Here is a 17,142-nt window from a genome sequence, read left to right on the forward strand (position 1 = left end):
ACTGCACTCCAGCCTGGGTGACAGAGGAAGACTGTCTCAAAAATTAAAAATACAAGTATTAAATGCGTTCTAGTTATAATACTTTCTATGTTTCAACATTTCTAACTTATCTTTCCTAATTTTATGGTAGAATCCTCTAGACGTTCATAAAGACAAAGATTACCCATGGAATTCCCTCCCAGTGTTTTCCTGGGGGGCTGAAAATGAAAATAAGCAGAATTAAAGTTAATATCTCACGAGTTTCATCTTTTGATGAAGACCCAGCCAGCCGCAAACATTGCTTCTCCCCTCACCCCCATCCCAGTGCCTCCTAATCAGTCAAGGACTCAGTTCAAAGTGTCTAGTTCAAGACAAAAGGGAGTTTGAAACATTTATTCAGAACCAAAATGAATGTATCAAGTTTGGTTTTTGCCAACTGTGCAAATCCTTTTCAGTGCATGCAACATTTATACTGAACCAGCCTAACAGGCAAGGTCCCATGTCAGATCCTGTAGAGGCAATACAATTGAATGTGTAGACAGGAACCTAGATTTAGCAGGGGAATACCCAAGTATGCAAATAACTGCAATAAAATGATATGCAACTTTCAGCTCTCAGGTTAAATATTACTTCTTCAGAAAGGCTCATCTCTTCCTAAATCTAAATGAATCTTCTTTGTTAGCATTTCTCTTATACTTTTGTTTTTCTTCATAACAATTGCCACAATATGTTATTATATATTTACTTCATATTAGTTTGTCTCATATGTCTTCCCCAGTTAAGGGTAAGTTCAAGAAGGCACATTTTTTTTCTCCTTTTTCTCACTGTTACTCAGATTAACACAATGATTGTCACTGTCAAAAGAAAAAATAAGCAAATGAATGCAAAAACTTGATTCAATTAGTGAGAGTGAAGTATAAATAAAATGCAGTTAATTGATTTGGGAAGCCTTAGGAAGATTTCATAAAGGAAGGGAAATTTCTGTAACTAGGATTTCAATATTTGAAAGGAAAGGAAAAGAATGTATCCCCACTGGCTAAAAGAAAACTATAAACAAAAGCAGAAAAGGGGAAAGTGCAAGGCTAGATTCCTAAATGAGCTAATAAATATCACATGCCAGATTTGTTTTTCTATAGCTACTTACCAAAAAGTACATTTTAATTTTAAGATATTTGGGTCTTGATTGTTCCACAAAATCTATACAAGACTCTAAAAGAAGCATTGTTTTTAGCAACTGAAAACACCATGAATAGTAAAATCATTAAAAATAATGCCACCAAAGGAAAAAAATTTCTGATATTTATTAGGACATCATTTAGGACACAAAATGCTATGTCAGTTTTGCCTGCAAAGTAAGAAATTTCCTGCATTTTTGGTTGATGGCAGGTAACCTGAAAGAAATCACAGCATTGGCAAAATAATTGAACATCCATGTGGCATTAAGATTACAATCTAAAAGTATATACACACCAATATATAAAAGAATATTTTGTTAAGAATGGGGACACCTTAGCTTCATAAGAATAATCCATTTGAATTTGTAAGTCTTGATCCAGCTTAGAACTCTGAATCTTATTATCAAACTTCTTAGATGCTTTTTTTCACCCTCTTCTAAAAGAAATTAAAATACCCTATTTCCATCTGGATTACAAAAACAAAAATAATGGCCTTTTCACTAAGTTTAGTGTTAAAATAACAAATTAGTATGAGAACACCATGTGTGCCATTGCTACTAATGTATTTGAAAGCTTCAGAAATTTATCCAGACATATTTACTAAGAAACCATTTATTAAGCAACTACCATGTGCTACATACTGTGCTAGAGCTGGGCATATAGTCATAAATAAGACAACAAGTCTTGTCCTTTTGGATATTACATTCTACTCAGGTAAAACAGTAGCAGTACAGCACAACACAGATAGTACAGGCAGTAATAAAAATAATTACAGATAGTGATAAAGATCCTAAAGAAAATAAGACAGTAATAAAATTATATTAGACCATGTACAATCAAGGGAATCATCTAAGTATTTGAAACAAAGATAATGAATTAGTGGAAGAGCTTAAAAGTCAATTAGGACAGTGAAACTTCCCAGAGATTAGCAAAAGCAGAATGTCCTTACTACTCTTAGGTTGGAGGAACAAAGGAAGGAGGTCATGTTACCAGTTTCTAAGGCTTGGGGTCATCTGGAAGAAGCTGGAATCACAGTACAGGTGGAATGGAAGTGCAATGGAAGAAGTGGAACCACAGTGAAGGTGGGAACTGGAGGCATGAAGAAAACACAGGTAGTGCTGGAGGCACCATTAATAACTATGGATAGCATTTTCTCCTTACAAATGTATGGGGTAATCAATACACATACCAAACAACAGGAAAAAAAATCTGTTTTAATTATAAAAAGTTTTAGGGAGCACTAAATGAACTTTTAAATTATCGTATATCATATATTCATTTCTTCAGGAAGTAGTTCATAAGAATCTGCCATGTGCCTATACACCATGGAATACTACGCAGCCATAAAAAAGGATGAGTTCTTGTCCTTTGTAGGCACATGGATGAAGCTTGAAACCATCATTCTGAGCAAACTTATCACAAGGACAGAAAACCAAACACTGCATGTTCTCACTCACAGGTGGGAATTGAACAATGAGAAAACTTAGACACAGGAAGGGGGACATCACACACCAGGGCCTGTCATGGGGCTGGGGGAGGGGGGAGGGATAGCATTAGGAGATATACCTAATGTAAATGACGAGTTGATGGGTGCAGCAAACCAACATGGCACATGTATACATATGTAACAAACCTGCACATTGTGCACATGTACCCTAGTACTTAAAGTATAATAATAAAAAAATAATAAAAAAAAAGAAAGAAAAAAAAAGAAACTGCCACGTGCCAAGCATCATAGCAAGTATTGAGGATCCAACTGGGATACGGTACTAGTCATGCACCTTGACCACCTAAAAGTTAGTAATTGGTGATAATATCATTGTAATTTCTAGGACAGCTATATCAATGCTTTGTATGTAGTAGGTGCTCAATAACTGTCAAATGAATGAACAGGAATTTCATTTATTTATTTCATCAAAATGAATAAATTCCAGTTATTGGTAACTTTCAATAACTAAAAAAGTATATTAGAATATTCGACCGGGCGTGACCGCTCACACCTGTAATCCCAGCACTTTGGGAGGCCGAGGCGGGCAGATCACCTGAGGTCAGGAGGTCAAGACCAGACTAAACAACATAGACAAACCCCATCCCTCCTAAAAATACAAAAAATTAGTCGGGCGTGGTGGTACATGCCTGTAATCCCAGCTACTCAGGAGGTTGTGGTAGGAGAATCGCTTGAACCCCAGAGGCAGAGTTTGCGGTGAGCCAAGATCGCACCATTGTACTCCAGCCTGGGCAACAAGAGTGAAACTCCATCTAAAAAAAAAAAATTCAGCAAGCAGGTTTAAACAGAAAACTGACTTTATTCCCTTAAGGTATAATTGTTAAAAGAGTTGAAATGGTTCCTGAAAAATAGTACATCACTGAGAAAAAGACGTAGAAACATTTAAAAATTAAACCTTTGAGCAGATTTGGAAAAGAAAAAGCAAAACTAAACAAAACAAAAGCCTAACTGGCTTCTTCCGTAATAGGGAAGTATTGGCTATTACTGGGGGAAAACAGTACAACCACCAATCCGATAATCAAGTACTTGTTAAGACCCTTATATAAAATGCTATCATTTTAAACAGTGTGATTTAATGTGGAAGCAAATTAGCATAACATATAGAATAGAAAGGATATTGTCAGTTATCTTCAACATGTCTCTGCAAATTATACCCAAAATTCACTTAATAAGAACTTTTAAGATATGTAAATATGCCAAAGATCTAGTGTTTTCTATGAGATTATATACTTTTTTCTCATTTACCCTACTCTCATGGCCTTTCATACATATAAACATTGTCTAGCATCACGTATTGATCGGCATATAGTTGGGGATAAAGTGACAATCTCTTCTTATTAGCTATGGTATGATCAGTAAGCTAGTTATCCAACAATAATGCTTACTATAGTAATGTATGAATGTCTTGAAACCTGAAATTCTCTAAATGTTTGGTGATCTAAATATTAAAACATTATATTTTTTGAAGAACCAAGCCAAGATTAATGAAAGAATAACCAAATAAATGGGTCTATATGCCAGTCTTGTGCTAGATACTGGAGAATACTATATAGAAACACTATCTAAAAACAATGATGAAAATTTTAATTTTCATAATTTTACATAATTGTATGCTAAAATTATTTTTTTAACTCACAAGAGAGAAATATTCCACCAAATCTAGTCAAATATCTGCTTATCTGAGGAAATAAAAAGAGTTCATTGTATCCAGATTTAGGATAAATCTGTTACTGCAAGCAGAGGCATCTGTTGTTACTAGCATTGTGTGTGTGTATGTGTGAATATGAAGTGAATATGAATTTTACTTTCATAAGCTTTTTTTTTTCATCTAATTTCCAAATTCACAGTTGTGGTGAGATTTAAAGGGAATGAGTTCTCCCAAAACTCTAAAGAATGTAGCATTTAACTAAAAAGAACTGTAAATGCTGAGAAACAATGTGCTTCTGTGCTTATTCAGCCCAGTAACTCTGAGTTTTAACACAGTAATATAGCAGTCTTATATTTATGAGAAACCGAAGACCACTACAACTCTTTGAGGGCAGGAATATACCAAGTAATTCTGAAGCATCTGCAGGCATACCAGGATGAAATGGAGTCAGGAATCAAAAAAGCAGGAAATATATTTTTTCCCTTAAAATTAAATATACCCAAAGGAAGTGGCTGCCGTGATGGCAGATTATCGCGGTTGACGTCCAAACATTTAACCTGGACTTAGTTTCCCTCATTGTCAGTATAAGGATTTGCACACACACACTACAAGGTTGCATCTATATAGCTAAGTCTTTGGCAGAGTAGTCAGGAGTGTTGATTCTGGAGGTACTCAGGACCAGGTTCCATCCTGGCTCCACCACTTTCCAGCTATGGGAACCTGAGTAGGTGGTTCACCTTTGCAAATGTGGTCACTTTCTTGAAATGGTGAGGGGAGTGGAAGATGAAGCTTATCTGCCCACTACTGAGGGTTTTTTCAAGGTCCAGAGATCCCCTGTACTGGCCTCTCTCCATGTTCTACTCACTCTACTCCACCTCTTGGGATATATTTCTCTGATTAGTAAATTTTGAAAGAATAACTGTTCATACTCAACTCCAAGAAGCAAGCATGTGCATAGAAATCAGAGAACAAAGATATGTTCTGCACTTCCATGTCCTAAATCTTACCTAGGGAGGCTGTCCCAGTTCAGCATTGTCATAATTGGTGGGTAGGACTTAAAGCCACATCTTCTAATATGTCCTCTATTTTTTTTTTTTTGGAAAAAAAATCTACTCAGGAGGCTGAGGTGGGAGGATTGCTTGAACCGAGGAGTTTGAGGCTGCAGTGTGCCGTGATTGCACCACTGCACTCCAGCCTCGAACTCCTGGGCTCAAACGATCCTCCGACCTCAGCCTCCTGAGTAACTGGGACTACAGGCAGGCACCACCATGCCCAGCTGATTTGTTTATACAAAAAATTAATATCCCCACATTACTTATTCCTCAAAGTCCATGTTTCTCATGTAGTGGTGGTATTCAGACCACCGGCATTAGAATCTCCAAAAGCCCTTATAACAAATAAAGATTCCCAAATTCACTCAAACTAATGAATCAAAATCTGTAGGAATGTAGCTCAGGACTCCGTATTTTTAACAAAGACATCATGTGATTCTTAAGATTCATAAAGTTTGTTGTATTTTAACACATTGGAGTCTAGTGTAAGATGCCAATATAAAATGGAAGAGGAAACATGTTAACTCAGTTATTATTATCTGCTAGCAATTCAATTTGTTGAATTACACTGAATTGTACTTACTGTCAGATTATTGAGATTTATTTTTCTTTTTTGTATCTCAGTTCTGTTATCCCGTATTTTAATATAAAGTAGTTGCTGGTAAGATATAACTTTAAAGAAAAAAATATAGGAAAATCTACTTCCAGAACTTCTCTGTGTATGTGGAAACAAGAAGCAGTTATTCCAATGTGCCTTTTAGTTACCAGATGTAAGGTGAATATGCACCCCCTGTCATGGACACTAGCATAACCGAGCCTTTTTTAACTTTGAGTAGTTCAACGTAAGGATAAAAATCCTACCTCCTGATCATCAAGGGTCTTCGGATGAAACAAAGTGTCTATAGACTTTTGAGAAAAAACTGATTCTGTCATATACATGCGCAAAACAAAACAAAGTGGGCCTGACGAAGATTTCCCAGCCCAGTAATTCACAAAGGGTGCTCCCCAGACCAGCCATATCAGCATCATCTGGGGACTTGTTAGAAAGGAAAATTCATGAGCCCACCCCAATCCAACTGTATAAGTCTGCTAAGGTTGCCATAACAAAATACAACAGACTGGCTGGCTTAAACAATATAAATTTATTGTCTCACAATTATGGAAGCTAAAAGCCCAAGATCAAGTGTCAGCAAATTCGACTTCTCCTTGGCTTGCAGATGATGAGTCTCTGCCCTGCTGTGTCCTCCCATGGCCTTTGCCCTGTGTGCATGTATCTAGTGGTGTCTCTTCCTCTTCTTATAAGGACATCAGTTATGTAGGATTAGGGCACCACCCTTGTAACCTCATTTAACCTTACTCTTTAAAGGCCCTATCTCCAAATACATTCTAAGGCACCGGGGGTTAGAACTTCAACATATATATGTGGGTGGCACAGTTCAGTTCATAGCAACTATGAGTAAGAAACTCAGAGGTTGGAGCCCAGCAACCTGTGTTTAATACGTCCTTCAGGTGATTTTAATAGGAAGGTAAAGTTTGAGAATTGTGCTGCCTAGTGAGGACCTCAACTCACCGCAATGAAAGGGTAGTCTGAGCTGAAGTGATAGGATTATTGTAAGGATCTATAGACTTTTGAGAAAAAACTGATTATGTCATATACATGCACAAAAAAATTAGTCTAGAAGCCCTCAGGACCATCATTGTTTTGGCAAACTTGTGAAATAAAGGGAGTTCTAACCAGAAAGTCTAAGTGTGAAGCTTGGCCCCTAGGCAAGGATCTGGCCACTAAGAGCACAACTGCAAGCATCCATCAACTACTAGTGTCTGCCAGAAGCAAATGGATTAAATTCTCCACTATTCTCCCCAGCTGGCCTTGGGAAGTGGACTGAACCTTTTGGACTGAGTGAATTACTCCACATGGATTCTTAGATAATTCTGGAAATGGTGGGATCTCAAAAGAGAACTGATGCTATATTTTAACACCTTGGAGTCTATCTTAAAATTCAAATATAAAATGAAAGAGGTAATACATTGATTAGGTCATTGCTGAGATGATAAATTAATCTCAGGGGAAGGATTACTGTGCCTCCTGTATGAGTTGCAGAGAAAGGGTGATGGAGATATTAAAAAGAAAGAACTTTTTAGTTTAGGACTCAAAATGCTGGCTGGCTGTCACGCCCATCTGAGGAGCTTATCAAATAATGGATTCCATAGGCATACTCATACCTGATTGAATCAGACTCTCCAATGACAGGGCCTCCAGCCTCCTGATCTTCTGAGTAAGTGGACAGTTGGCATGAGATATAGAATTAACCGGATTAGTAGTTCATCATTATTAAGCAATAGAGGCACAAAAATATTACTCACATTTTTGTCATATATTTTATCAGAACTGAAAAAAGATAAAAAGAGAATAAGGGGAGTGAAGCTTATCACAAAATAGTTACACATTATATAGATACTAAGAAATTATAACATTGATATGAGGAACAGAAGCAAAATTACTTCTCCTCTCTCTTTTCCCTCACCCTACTGCAGTTCTCTACATGAAGCTGTTCAGGTACCCTTACCTGTTCACTACACACAGGTATGCCACTCACTGATAATACATTAGGGTGCCATCACTTACACACCTATAGAATCATACCACACTCATTTTATATATACTACTGACTCTCTTTTGCCATGTAATGTTGATATTTTCTCAAGAATATAGATATTACTTCTATCAAAATTCAGATGGAACTTTAAAACTGTTTCTTCAGTCAGGCATGGTGGCTCACACTTGTAATCCCAGCACTTTGGGAGGCCGAGGCGGGCAGATCACAAGGTCAAGAGTTTGAGACCATCCTGGCCAACATGGTGAAACCACGTCTCTACTAAAAATACAAAAAAATAGTTGGGCATGGTGGCGGGCGCCCATATTCCCAGCTACTTGGGAGGCTGAGGCAGGAGAATCGTTTGAACCTGGGAGGCGGAGGTTGCAGTGAGCCAAGATTGTGCCATTGCACTCCAGCCTGCGCAACAGGGTGAGACTCCGTCTCAAAAAAAAAAAAAAAAAAAAAAAAAAGTCTGTTTCTTCATAGAATCTAAACAACCACCTATGATTATTTAAAAAGATATCCTGAAAATTAACCTCCCACTCCCCCAAAATCTGAAACAAATTTAAGCTAATTTTAAAACAAATTAAGTAAAATAATTTCCTTTTGAAATCTTGGGATGCCTTATTATGCTCTCTTCTTATCATGCATCTGTTTCTACAAGTTATTTTCTTTTTATACCAAATTTAGTTTACTTTTATATAAAGATCTCACTTCTCTGATTCATTTTCGAGAAGCCACCTCCTTCTTTCTTAAAAATCAGCCACTGGTTTTACGCAAAATAGAATCATGTGCTTTTTTCTCTTAGCATTAACAAAGATGTTTAGAAGTTCTGTTACATGGCTATTAATTCTACCTCTAACTAGGACCCAAACAATCAATTGCCCACAAATCAGGACAGGTTTAGTTGATATATGTAGTAAGTCAACAAGATCCTTGCAGGAGTTTTGATTAAACACAAAACTAAGAATTACATTGCTTTATTTATTTCAAACAGCTTCTTCTATATTATCAAAGTTTTTTAGTTTGTTTTTACTTTTTTTTTTTTTTTTTTGCAATCTTTTCTGCAATTTTCCACCATATTAGGCTATTTGACCTATCGGTAACAACTCATTGGCGTAGTTTTCTCACTCATCTGTGGATTCAACTATGTGGCAGTTGGCACCCTCAACCCACTGCATACAGTTTCCAAAATATCACAAAAATAATTACCTTTAACTCTCTTCCTTCTGCCCTACCTAACAATGATGAAGGGGCTTAAAATTAATTGCGGTAGTTGCAGTTAAAAATTGTTAACAAAATTGTTTTTATCACACTTTTCTCCAAAACATGAATGTGGAAACAGTATAATGTATAGTTACTCTTTGGCATCTACCTCTGTGCCTCCATTTAAATTGTGTACCTGTCCCAGATCTGTCTCTGGAGCTTTATGATCCCTTAGCAACATCATACAGCTGCCTCTGTTGGGATTAGAGAACCAATGGGACCATTCCATGTGGTTCCTGTGATTTGTCTGAACACAATTCCTTGCACTAAAACAAATAGGCTTGTAAGACAAAATGTAGCATTTGGATGCAATTCCTATTGTTTTATAGGAAAATCATTTATTGAGTTACTCTGCAGACTCAGGAGTGTAATAGGTGCTGGGGGTTATGAATGAGATATTCCCTTCTGACCTCTAGGAGCTCACAGTACAAAATAAAAATATATTGTGTCACAAAACAATTTGGTCCTTTGAGCACCAATGTTAAGTAAGACCTTATACAGGAAATTAGTGAAATGAACATGAAACTTGTCTTTTAGGAGTACATAATCAAATAGGAGAGAGTAAGCAAAAAGGTAAATAAAGCTGAAAATGACAAGTAACACCAGTGAGGCATAAAGTGCACTAACGTTGAGAGCAGGAAATCTCGGAGCTAAACTGCTATTTTAATAAATAATAATTGTAAAAGGTTATCAGAAAAATTTTAATGAGAAGATTCATGTAGAAAGAAATATTCTAAGATAAGTAATCAAATGATTTTCCAATGTGTGTCAAAATAACAGGATACGATGTACTTGGTGTACATGAAATTGAAACACATTTGCATATCATCTGATCTGCAGTTTTTTGCAGGCTTTTGTTGAAAGTTGACAGAAGCCTTCCAGGTGTCAGTGTTTTCCCCAGATATATTTTCCATTCCCACATCTCCACACAGTGAGAATGACATTATATGCTAAAATGACATTGTCAAATTTTAGTTTAAAAAGGATCCTTATGAATCTGCCAAATACTTTTAACTCCAGATATAACTTCCATCAGCAAATGTAACATGAAAAATAAATATGGGACTGGGTTTCACAGGCCATGTGTTGAACATTTGGGAATATTCATCTTCCAGAGAGTTCCATGTTAGTGCTCTTCTGTGGTTAAAACGTGGATGTTGTGCTCTAAAATAATGTGTGGTACCTTTCTAAAGAACAGGATTTAGTTAATAACTAAATCACAATGTGAAAAGGAGGGTTGGTATTACATGGTAAAGCTGTTTGTGTTTTAAAGCAATTCATGGTTCATACTTTGCTTTTCTTTTGCTGTCTTATACAGTTAAAGTTTATTTTCTCAGTGTTTGTTTTACTTTATCCAACAAGAATTCAGACCCCTTCAAGTTTAGTACAGTAGTCCCCCCTTATCTGTGGTTTCAGTTTCCATGGTTTCAGTTACCTGTGGTCAACCACAGTCCGAAAATATTAAACGGAAAATTCCAGAAATAAATGATTCCCAAGTTTTAAATTGTGTGCCATTCTGAGTAGCATGATTAAATCCTGTGCCATCCCACTCTGTCTCACCCGGGATGTGAATCATCCTTTCTCCAGTGTATCCATGCTGTATATACTACTTGCCCCTTAGTCACTTAGTAGCCATCTTTGTTATCAAATCAACTATCACACTATTGCAGTGCCTGTGTTCAAGTAACCCTTATTTTACTTAATAGTGGCCCCAACCCACAAGAGTAGTGATGCTGGCATATTGTTATAATTGTTCTATTATATTACTAGTTATTGTTAATCTCTTACTCTGACTAATTATAAATTAAACTTTATCATGGGGTATGTGTGTATAGGAAAAAATCATAGTATATAGAGGGTTTGATACTATCCTCAGTTTTAGACATTTACTGGGGGTCTTGGAACATATCCCTTCTTGGATAAGGAGGGAATACTGTATTGGATTGTCTTTGACTTCTCTACTGAAAGAAGGTCTTCTTCCCCACCCTTTGAACCCAAGTAATTCCTACTTAAGACTGAACAAAAATGAAACTCAAAGGAATACAGAGTCAATACCAAATATTTTATGAGCAAAAGATGGGTGCAGGCTATGGAAGAATAGACTTGGGGCTACATATTAAAAGCTGCTAATCATTCTAAAGACAGACCCTGAAAATCTGTCAACAAGGAAGCTGAAAAGCTGTCATCCTGGGAGGTATCCAAAATTGGAATGAGGAAATTCACACAGGTATCCGGAGACAAGAACCAGGGTTCAGACCTAGGGCAACTCGGCACATTCTGCCAAACCCTTCCTCCTCACCCAGCACTGTTTCCGTCGGTCACCAGCATGTTCCACTGCTTTCACTCCATAGCATCACAAAGGTGTCATTCAGTCTTGAACATACCTCATCCTTTAAGGCTCTGCTCAGAACTACACTCCACCCTGATTCCTTACCTTAAGTTCCTAATGATCTTTCTATTTTGACTTCCTGTGTCATTTTCAGGTCTGTTCTGCACAATGGAAATGAGTGTATAACCATTTGTGCTGCTAAATAAACGTGGAACACAACAGTTAATAAAAAGAGATTGAAAGACAGCCTTAGAAAATCTAAGGTGAAGCTGGGCAGAAAATAAAGGTCAGGCGTGTGAGTGGGCCAGGCCCAGTGATAGCTCAGTTGCAGGTAATGCCAAAGTTAAGCCTGGAACTAATGAAGCCTTCTACAAAAGAAATACTTTTAAAATACTGATGCTAAATGCTAAGGTCAAAGCAACAGTTCAGAACCAACAACTTAGACAAGGCCAAGAAGGCAGGAAAGTACTGAATATTTGAGCAGCAACAGAATGGGGATCCAGAGAAATTCCAAGAAGTCAACTTTCAGATTTGTGTAAAGGATAAATGACACTGTGTATCTAAAGTAATTCTCCCATTCCTTTACTTCGGCAGCCTCACTCTTTCCCATCTCCCCCCAGAATCTTCGCTTTTGACCTCTCCCAAGGAACCTTTCTTATCTGAGTCCTATTTAATGTAAGCCATATCCTAGTAGAGGCCACTGAACATCCCATGGCCTTCTTATATCCACAATGGGGCAGTAACCCCCTGGAGGCAGAGATATTTTTATTCTTCTGCTCCTTATTCACAAACCTAATCTAGAAAAAACGAATGTAGAAAAGCAAGGGATTTTTGCTGTTTTAAAGTCAGGTTATTTTTTAAGTAGTTAGTTAGTTGGTTTGTTTGTTTTTTGAGACAGGGTCTCACTCTGTCCTCCAGGCTGCAGTGCAGTGGTGTGATCATGGCTCACTGCAGCCTTGACTTCCTGGCTCAGGTGATCCTCCTACCTCAGCCTCCACAGTAGCTGGGACTACAGGCACACACCACCATGCCTAGCTTTTATGCAGTATTAAGGTATTATTGGACACATTATTTATAAAGGAATGAATATCTCCATTATTTTCAGCTCAGTCCTTCCTATGCTTTGATTTGTCTAGTTGCCTTTATTGTGCTTCATAGATGCCTGTCCTAGCATGACCCCCTGCAGAGTTATCACACAACTGTTTTTGAATAATTAAAAAAACTGTAAACATTTGTTTCACATATTCCACACTTATCCCCCACCTGCAGCCACTAGTTGGCATTTCGTTCTCCTTTGAAATAGAAATTTTTGGTCCACAGAGGCTTATCAGAGTGAAACACACTTTCTTTGCTAGTGCATTCAGAGAGCGAGATCAGCAGTAACTCGCCTGTTATTTTTTTTTTTTTTAGAAATTTTATGGCACTGCTCTAAAACCCAATAAAACTATTAATGGTCATACAAAAGTAAAACATTTAATTTTAAATTTTGATTACCTTTTAGTGAATTATAAATACAAAGTGTTCAACCACAAATAACACACATTACAAATAAAACAAGTAAGTAAATTAAAATTGTAAACAAATAAATGGATAAAACCCAAAAGTCAGTCAATGCTAGAGGAATAGGAGAAAACAAACTGTGTTAAGCTTTGTGGAGCTCTGCTCTAGTTCTGCTCCTGCTTGCTACAGATATTCTCTTAATGGTCCCCTGAAACTCTTTATTTTAATAATCGAACACCAAAAGTTGTTTAGCAGCATGTGTGGCCACAAATCTAAGAAAGTACATTCCATGCAGCTAGGTATGGCGAGTTTCAGCCCTTGATATATGACTGTAAGTAGTGTGTGACAAATCTTTGGACTTCAATCTTTGGTGACACTCTCTATTCCCCTTACCCCATTCCTATGGGTTGGAACATGATCATGGTACTAGTGACCATGTAGACAAGGACAACTGATGCAACTGACATTAAGGAGAAGAACTCGTCTATTACTGTGTCTGTAGCAAAAGAGATACATAAATATTAATCTTATTTAAGTCATTGTACTAAAAGGTTCCCATTGTTTCAGCAACTTAGCTTTTACCCTAAACAAAACATCCACCAATATTTATCCAGGACTCATAAAAAAATTATCTCCTTCTGCCTTATCTTAGCTCCAACCCAACTGTCTGAAAGTGTCCAAACACTCCTCCCTACTGGCGATGGAAAACTAGCTCTGGCTATATTAACTGGGGTGAGAAAACCAATATAGTTCTCCCTGTATCTAAGCTTAAGTTCCCAAGACAACTAGAGGCCATCAACTTTCAACAACATATCACTTATTGTCCTAGTCAGGACTCTTTTCAAGACAAAAAAAAAAAAAAAAAACAGTGACCCCACTTATAGGATATAAGCTGAGGAAGCTTCATACAATGCTAGAGATCCACAGAAACCATAGCATGGTACCAACATGAGTCATGGGAACTGAAACCATTGAAGAACTGAGACAACTCAGTTACCTCTCAAGATTCATGTGCTTTCTAGCTTCTACTTCTCTCTGCACAATTTTTCTTTCCTCTTCCTTCTCTTTGCAGACCAGTTTTCTTGTAAGGGTGTCACCAGTTACATAGGGCTGCCCATTACCAGTGCTACATAGGGAATAGGATCTCAAAGAAAAGGATTATGGGCAAGGATGGTCCAAAGCACGTCGTCCAAAGATGTTAAGCTCTTAAATCTCTTTGCTTTGTTCTTAGCAGGACTCTCCTTTGATACTTTTCCTTTGCCACGGTGAAAATTCAATCTTCCTGTGGGAAGATCTTTCTAGGTCTCTTGGTTCTCTGCCTCCCTGATTCTGTGAAACCCAAAGAAGTCAAGCTCTGTGCCCAGGCCTTGAGCTAACAAGAACACCATCTCCGAAAACCATCTCAGTCTTTCTCCAGCATTCTACCCTGGTAGCTTCTCATCCTCCTGTGATCACCCTCATTTTTCATCCATCTAATGTTTTGGTTACTGATTTTTATCTGTACCTGATACTACTGCCCACACAGAATGTATAATGGGGGCCAAAGAACCATTCACCCTGGATCTTACTCAATAGACTGCAAAATAAACTTCCAATAATCTCTCCATATTAGTTTATACATGCAGTCTCTGGTATACATTTAAGATCTTATTTATAATCAAACTTTAATAGCTCATTATCAGATACCGTATTGCATATCATAAATTACTTTTTAAATATAACCCCATATAATCTTATAAATAACACAATTATATTGCATTGTAATTTATGTACAGTAGACCTCTGTTAGCCATGGTTTTGCTTTCCATGGTTTCAGTATCACAGTCCAAGAGTCTTAAATAGAAAATTCCGGAAATAAACAATTAATACATTTAAAATTGCACACCATTCTGAATAGTGTGATGAAATCGCATGCCGGCCTGTTCTGTCCCACCCAGGACATGAATCATCCATTAACCAGTGTATCCACACTGTATATGCTACCTGCCTGTTAGTTACTTAGTAGCCATCTGGGTTATTATATCAAAACTACGGGCCGGGTTCGGTGGCTTATGCCTGTAATCCCAGCACTTTGGGAGGCTGAGGCGGGCAGATCACAAGGTCAAGAGATCGAGACCATCCTGGCCAAAATGGTGAAACCCTGTCTCTACTAAAAATATAAAAATTAGTTGGACATGGTAGCGCACGCCTGTAGTCCCAGCTACTCGGGAAGCTGAGGCAGGAGAATTGCTTGAACCTGGGAGGCAGAGGTTGCAGTGAGCCGAGATCACGCCACTGCACTCCAACCTGGGCAACAGAGCGAGACTCCTCCGTCTAAAACAACAACAACAACAACAACAACAACCAGTATATATATTGGGCTTTGTACTATCTTTGATTTCAGGCATCCACTGGGAGTCTTAGAACATATCCCCTGCAGGTTCCCACTATATTAAGAGGTTACTACTGTATTAAAAGTACTCGTTTTTGTTTTTTGTTTTTTGTTTTTTTTTGAGACGGAGTCTCGCTCTGTCGCCCAGGCTGGAGTGCAGTGACGCAATCTCGGCTCACGGCAAGCTCCGCCTCCCGGGTTCACGCCATTCTCCTGCCTCAGCCTCCCCAGTAGCTGGGACTACAGGCGACCGCCACCGCGCCCAGCTAATTTTTTGTATATTTAGTAAAGAGGGGGTTTCACCATGTTAGCCAGGATGTTCTCTATCTCCTGACCTCGTGATCCACCCACCTCGAAAAGTACTCTTTCTTATGTTATAATATTAACACCTGGTTTGGGCTTAAAAAAAAAAAAATAGTGTTCCAGAAAAGAAAGGAGAGAAGGGAGAAGAGGAAAGCGGAGGGAGATCCAAGTTTTGCTGGACCTCTGAAAGGCCCTGACCTGGCTTCAGTTCCCAGCTTCCCACTTGGGTTTTATCTCGAATGAAGTTTGTGAATGCAGAGAAATGAGGGAAAGATAACCAGTAAGTGGACAACACTAGAAAGACTGGCCAGAGAGGTACAGAGGACGGAGATTTCTTTCAAGTGGAAAGGGAAGGAGTGGTTTCAAGGAGGATGTGGTATTTAAGTTGGCTTCACTATATATTATATTTTATGTAATGTGAGTGACACAAGCGTGGGAAAGTGAGAAATAGGAGAGAAAAAAGAGAGAGAGCGAGGAACATGGAAAAGCATGGGGAAGAGAAGAAAGTCGTTTTACAGCCTATGTTCAATAAACAAACGACACAGTGATCACAGTCAGACACAGCAGCTTCTCTGAAGCCCTCTCCTCTCTCAAATATTCCACAAATTACAATCTTCTATTTCTAGAGATTCATTTCTAGGGAACTAAGCAAAGCTCTCAATAGGGGTATATATTTGGTCTATACTAGTTACTAGAAACTCAGTATCAGTTGACTTACATGACTGAGAAGGCAGGGACTAAGATACAAAGTATGCAGGTGAGTGTGGATAGGGCAGGGCACCAAGTTGTGCATAGAAGCCCCACTTGGGAGGCACTGCTGGGAAAGACATCCTAGGTGGGGAAGTGGAGCATGGGTGGAGCTTGGTGGGCAAGGGTGGGCAACACGGACACTAGCTTATATGGTTTGGCTCTACGTCCCCACCCAAATTTCATCTTGTAGCTCCCATAATTCCCACGTGTTGTGGGAAGGACCCAGTAGGAGATAACTGAATCATGGGGTGGGTCTTCCCTTGCTGTTCTCGTAAGTCTCACGAGATCTGACAGTTTTAAAAACGGGAGAGAGAGCACAAGTCCTCTCTCTCTTTTCCTGCCGCCATCCACCTAAGATGTGACTTGCTCCTTGCCTTCCACCATGATTGTGAGGCCTCCCCAGCCATGTGGAAATGTAAGTCCATTAAACCTCTTTCTTTTGTAAATTGCCCAGTATCTGGTATGTCTTTATCAGCACCATGAAAATGGACTAATACACTAGCTGTGTCACACACAAGAGTAAGAATATGATAAAGTGCCCATTTTTTGCTACATGACTATTTTGCTCAGAGCCATCCAGGAAAGAAAGAAAATAAGAAAGGGAATTGAGGTTATGGAATGCCAAAATAAAAAGACCATGAAGGCAGGAAGTTTGTCTAATTTGT

The 17,142-nt window shown here is 38.2% G+C and overlaps 2 long non-coding RNA genes and 1 other non-coding gene across 3 annotated transcripts in view, besides 1 other annotated feature; 1 reads left to right on the forward strand and 2 right to left on the reverse strand.

The window, feature by feature from the left end:
* The window catches only part of MIR4280HG (MIR4280 host gene), a 73,290-nt gene that overhangs the window by 54,397 nt on the left and 1,751 nt on the right, over positions 1-17,142 (reverse strand). The gene's annotated exons all lie outside the window — the stretch shown is intronic.
* Positions 11,577-11,652, reverse strand: MIR4280 (microRNA 4280). The gene has a single exon (NR_036243.1). It is a non-coding gene; the product is annotated as a microRNA 4280 (primary transcript).
* Positions 14,239-14,338: an enhancer, noted in NCBI's record as "active region_22750". NCBI's record gives its function as "activates an Ori minimal core promoter by ATAC-STARR-seq in GM12878 lymphoblastoid cells {active_cell/tissue: GM12878}" and the evidence as "EXISTENCE:reporter gene assay evidence [ECO:0000049][PMID:35858748]".
* Positions 16,846-17,142, forward strand: part of LOC101929380 (uncharacterized) — a 127,874-nt gene continuing 127,577 nt past the window's right edge. Inside the window, exon 1 of the long non-coding RNA NR_105018.1 lies at positions 16,846-16,892. This is a non-coding gene — a long non-coding RNA (uncharacterized LOC101929380). The remainder of the gene's footprint in view (positions 16,893-17,142) is intronic.

This window comes from Homo sapiens, chromosome 5, assembly GCF_000001405.40.
Source record: "Homo sapiens chromosome 5, GRCh38.p14 Primary Assembly".
NCBI classification, from domain to species: domain Eukaryota; kingdom Metazoa; phylum Chordata; class Mammalia; order Primates; family Hominidae; genus Homo; species Homo sapiens.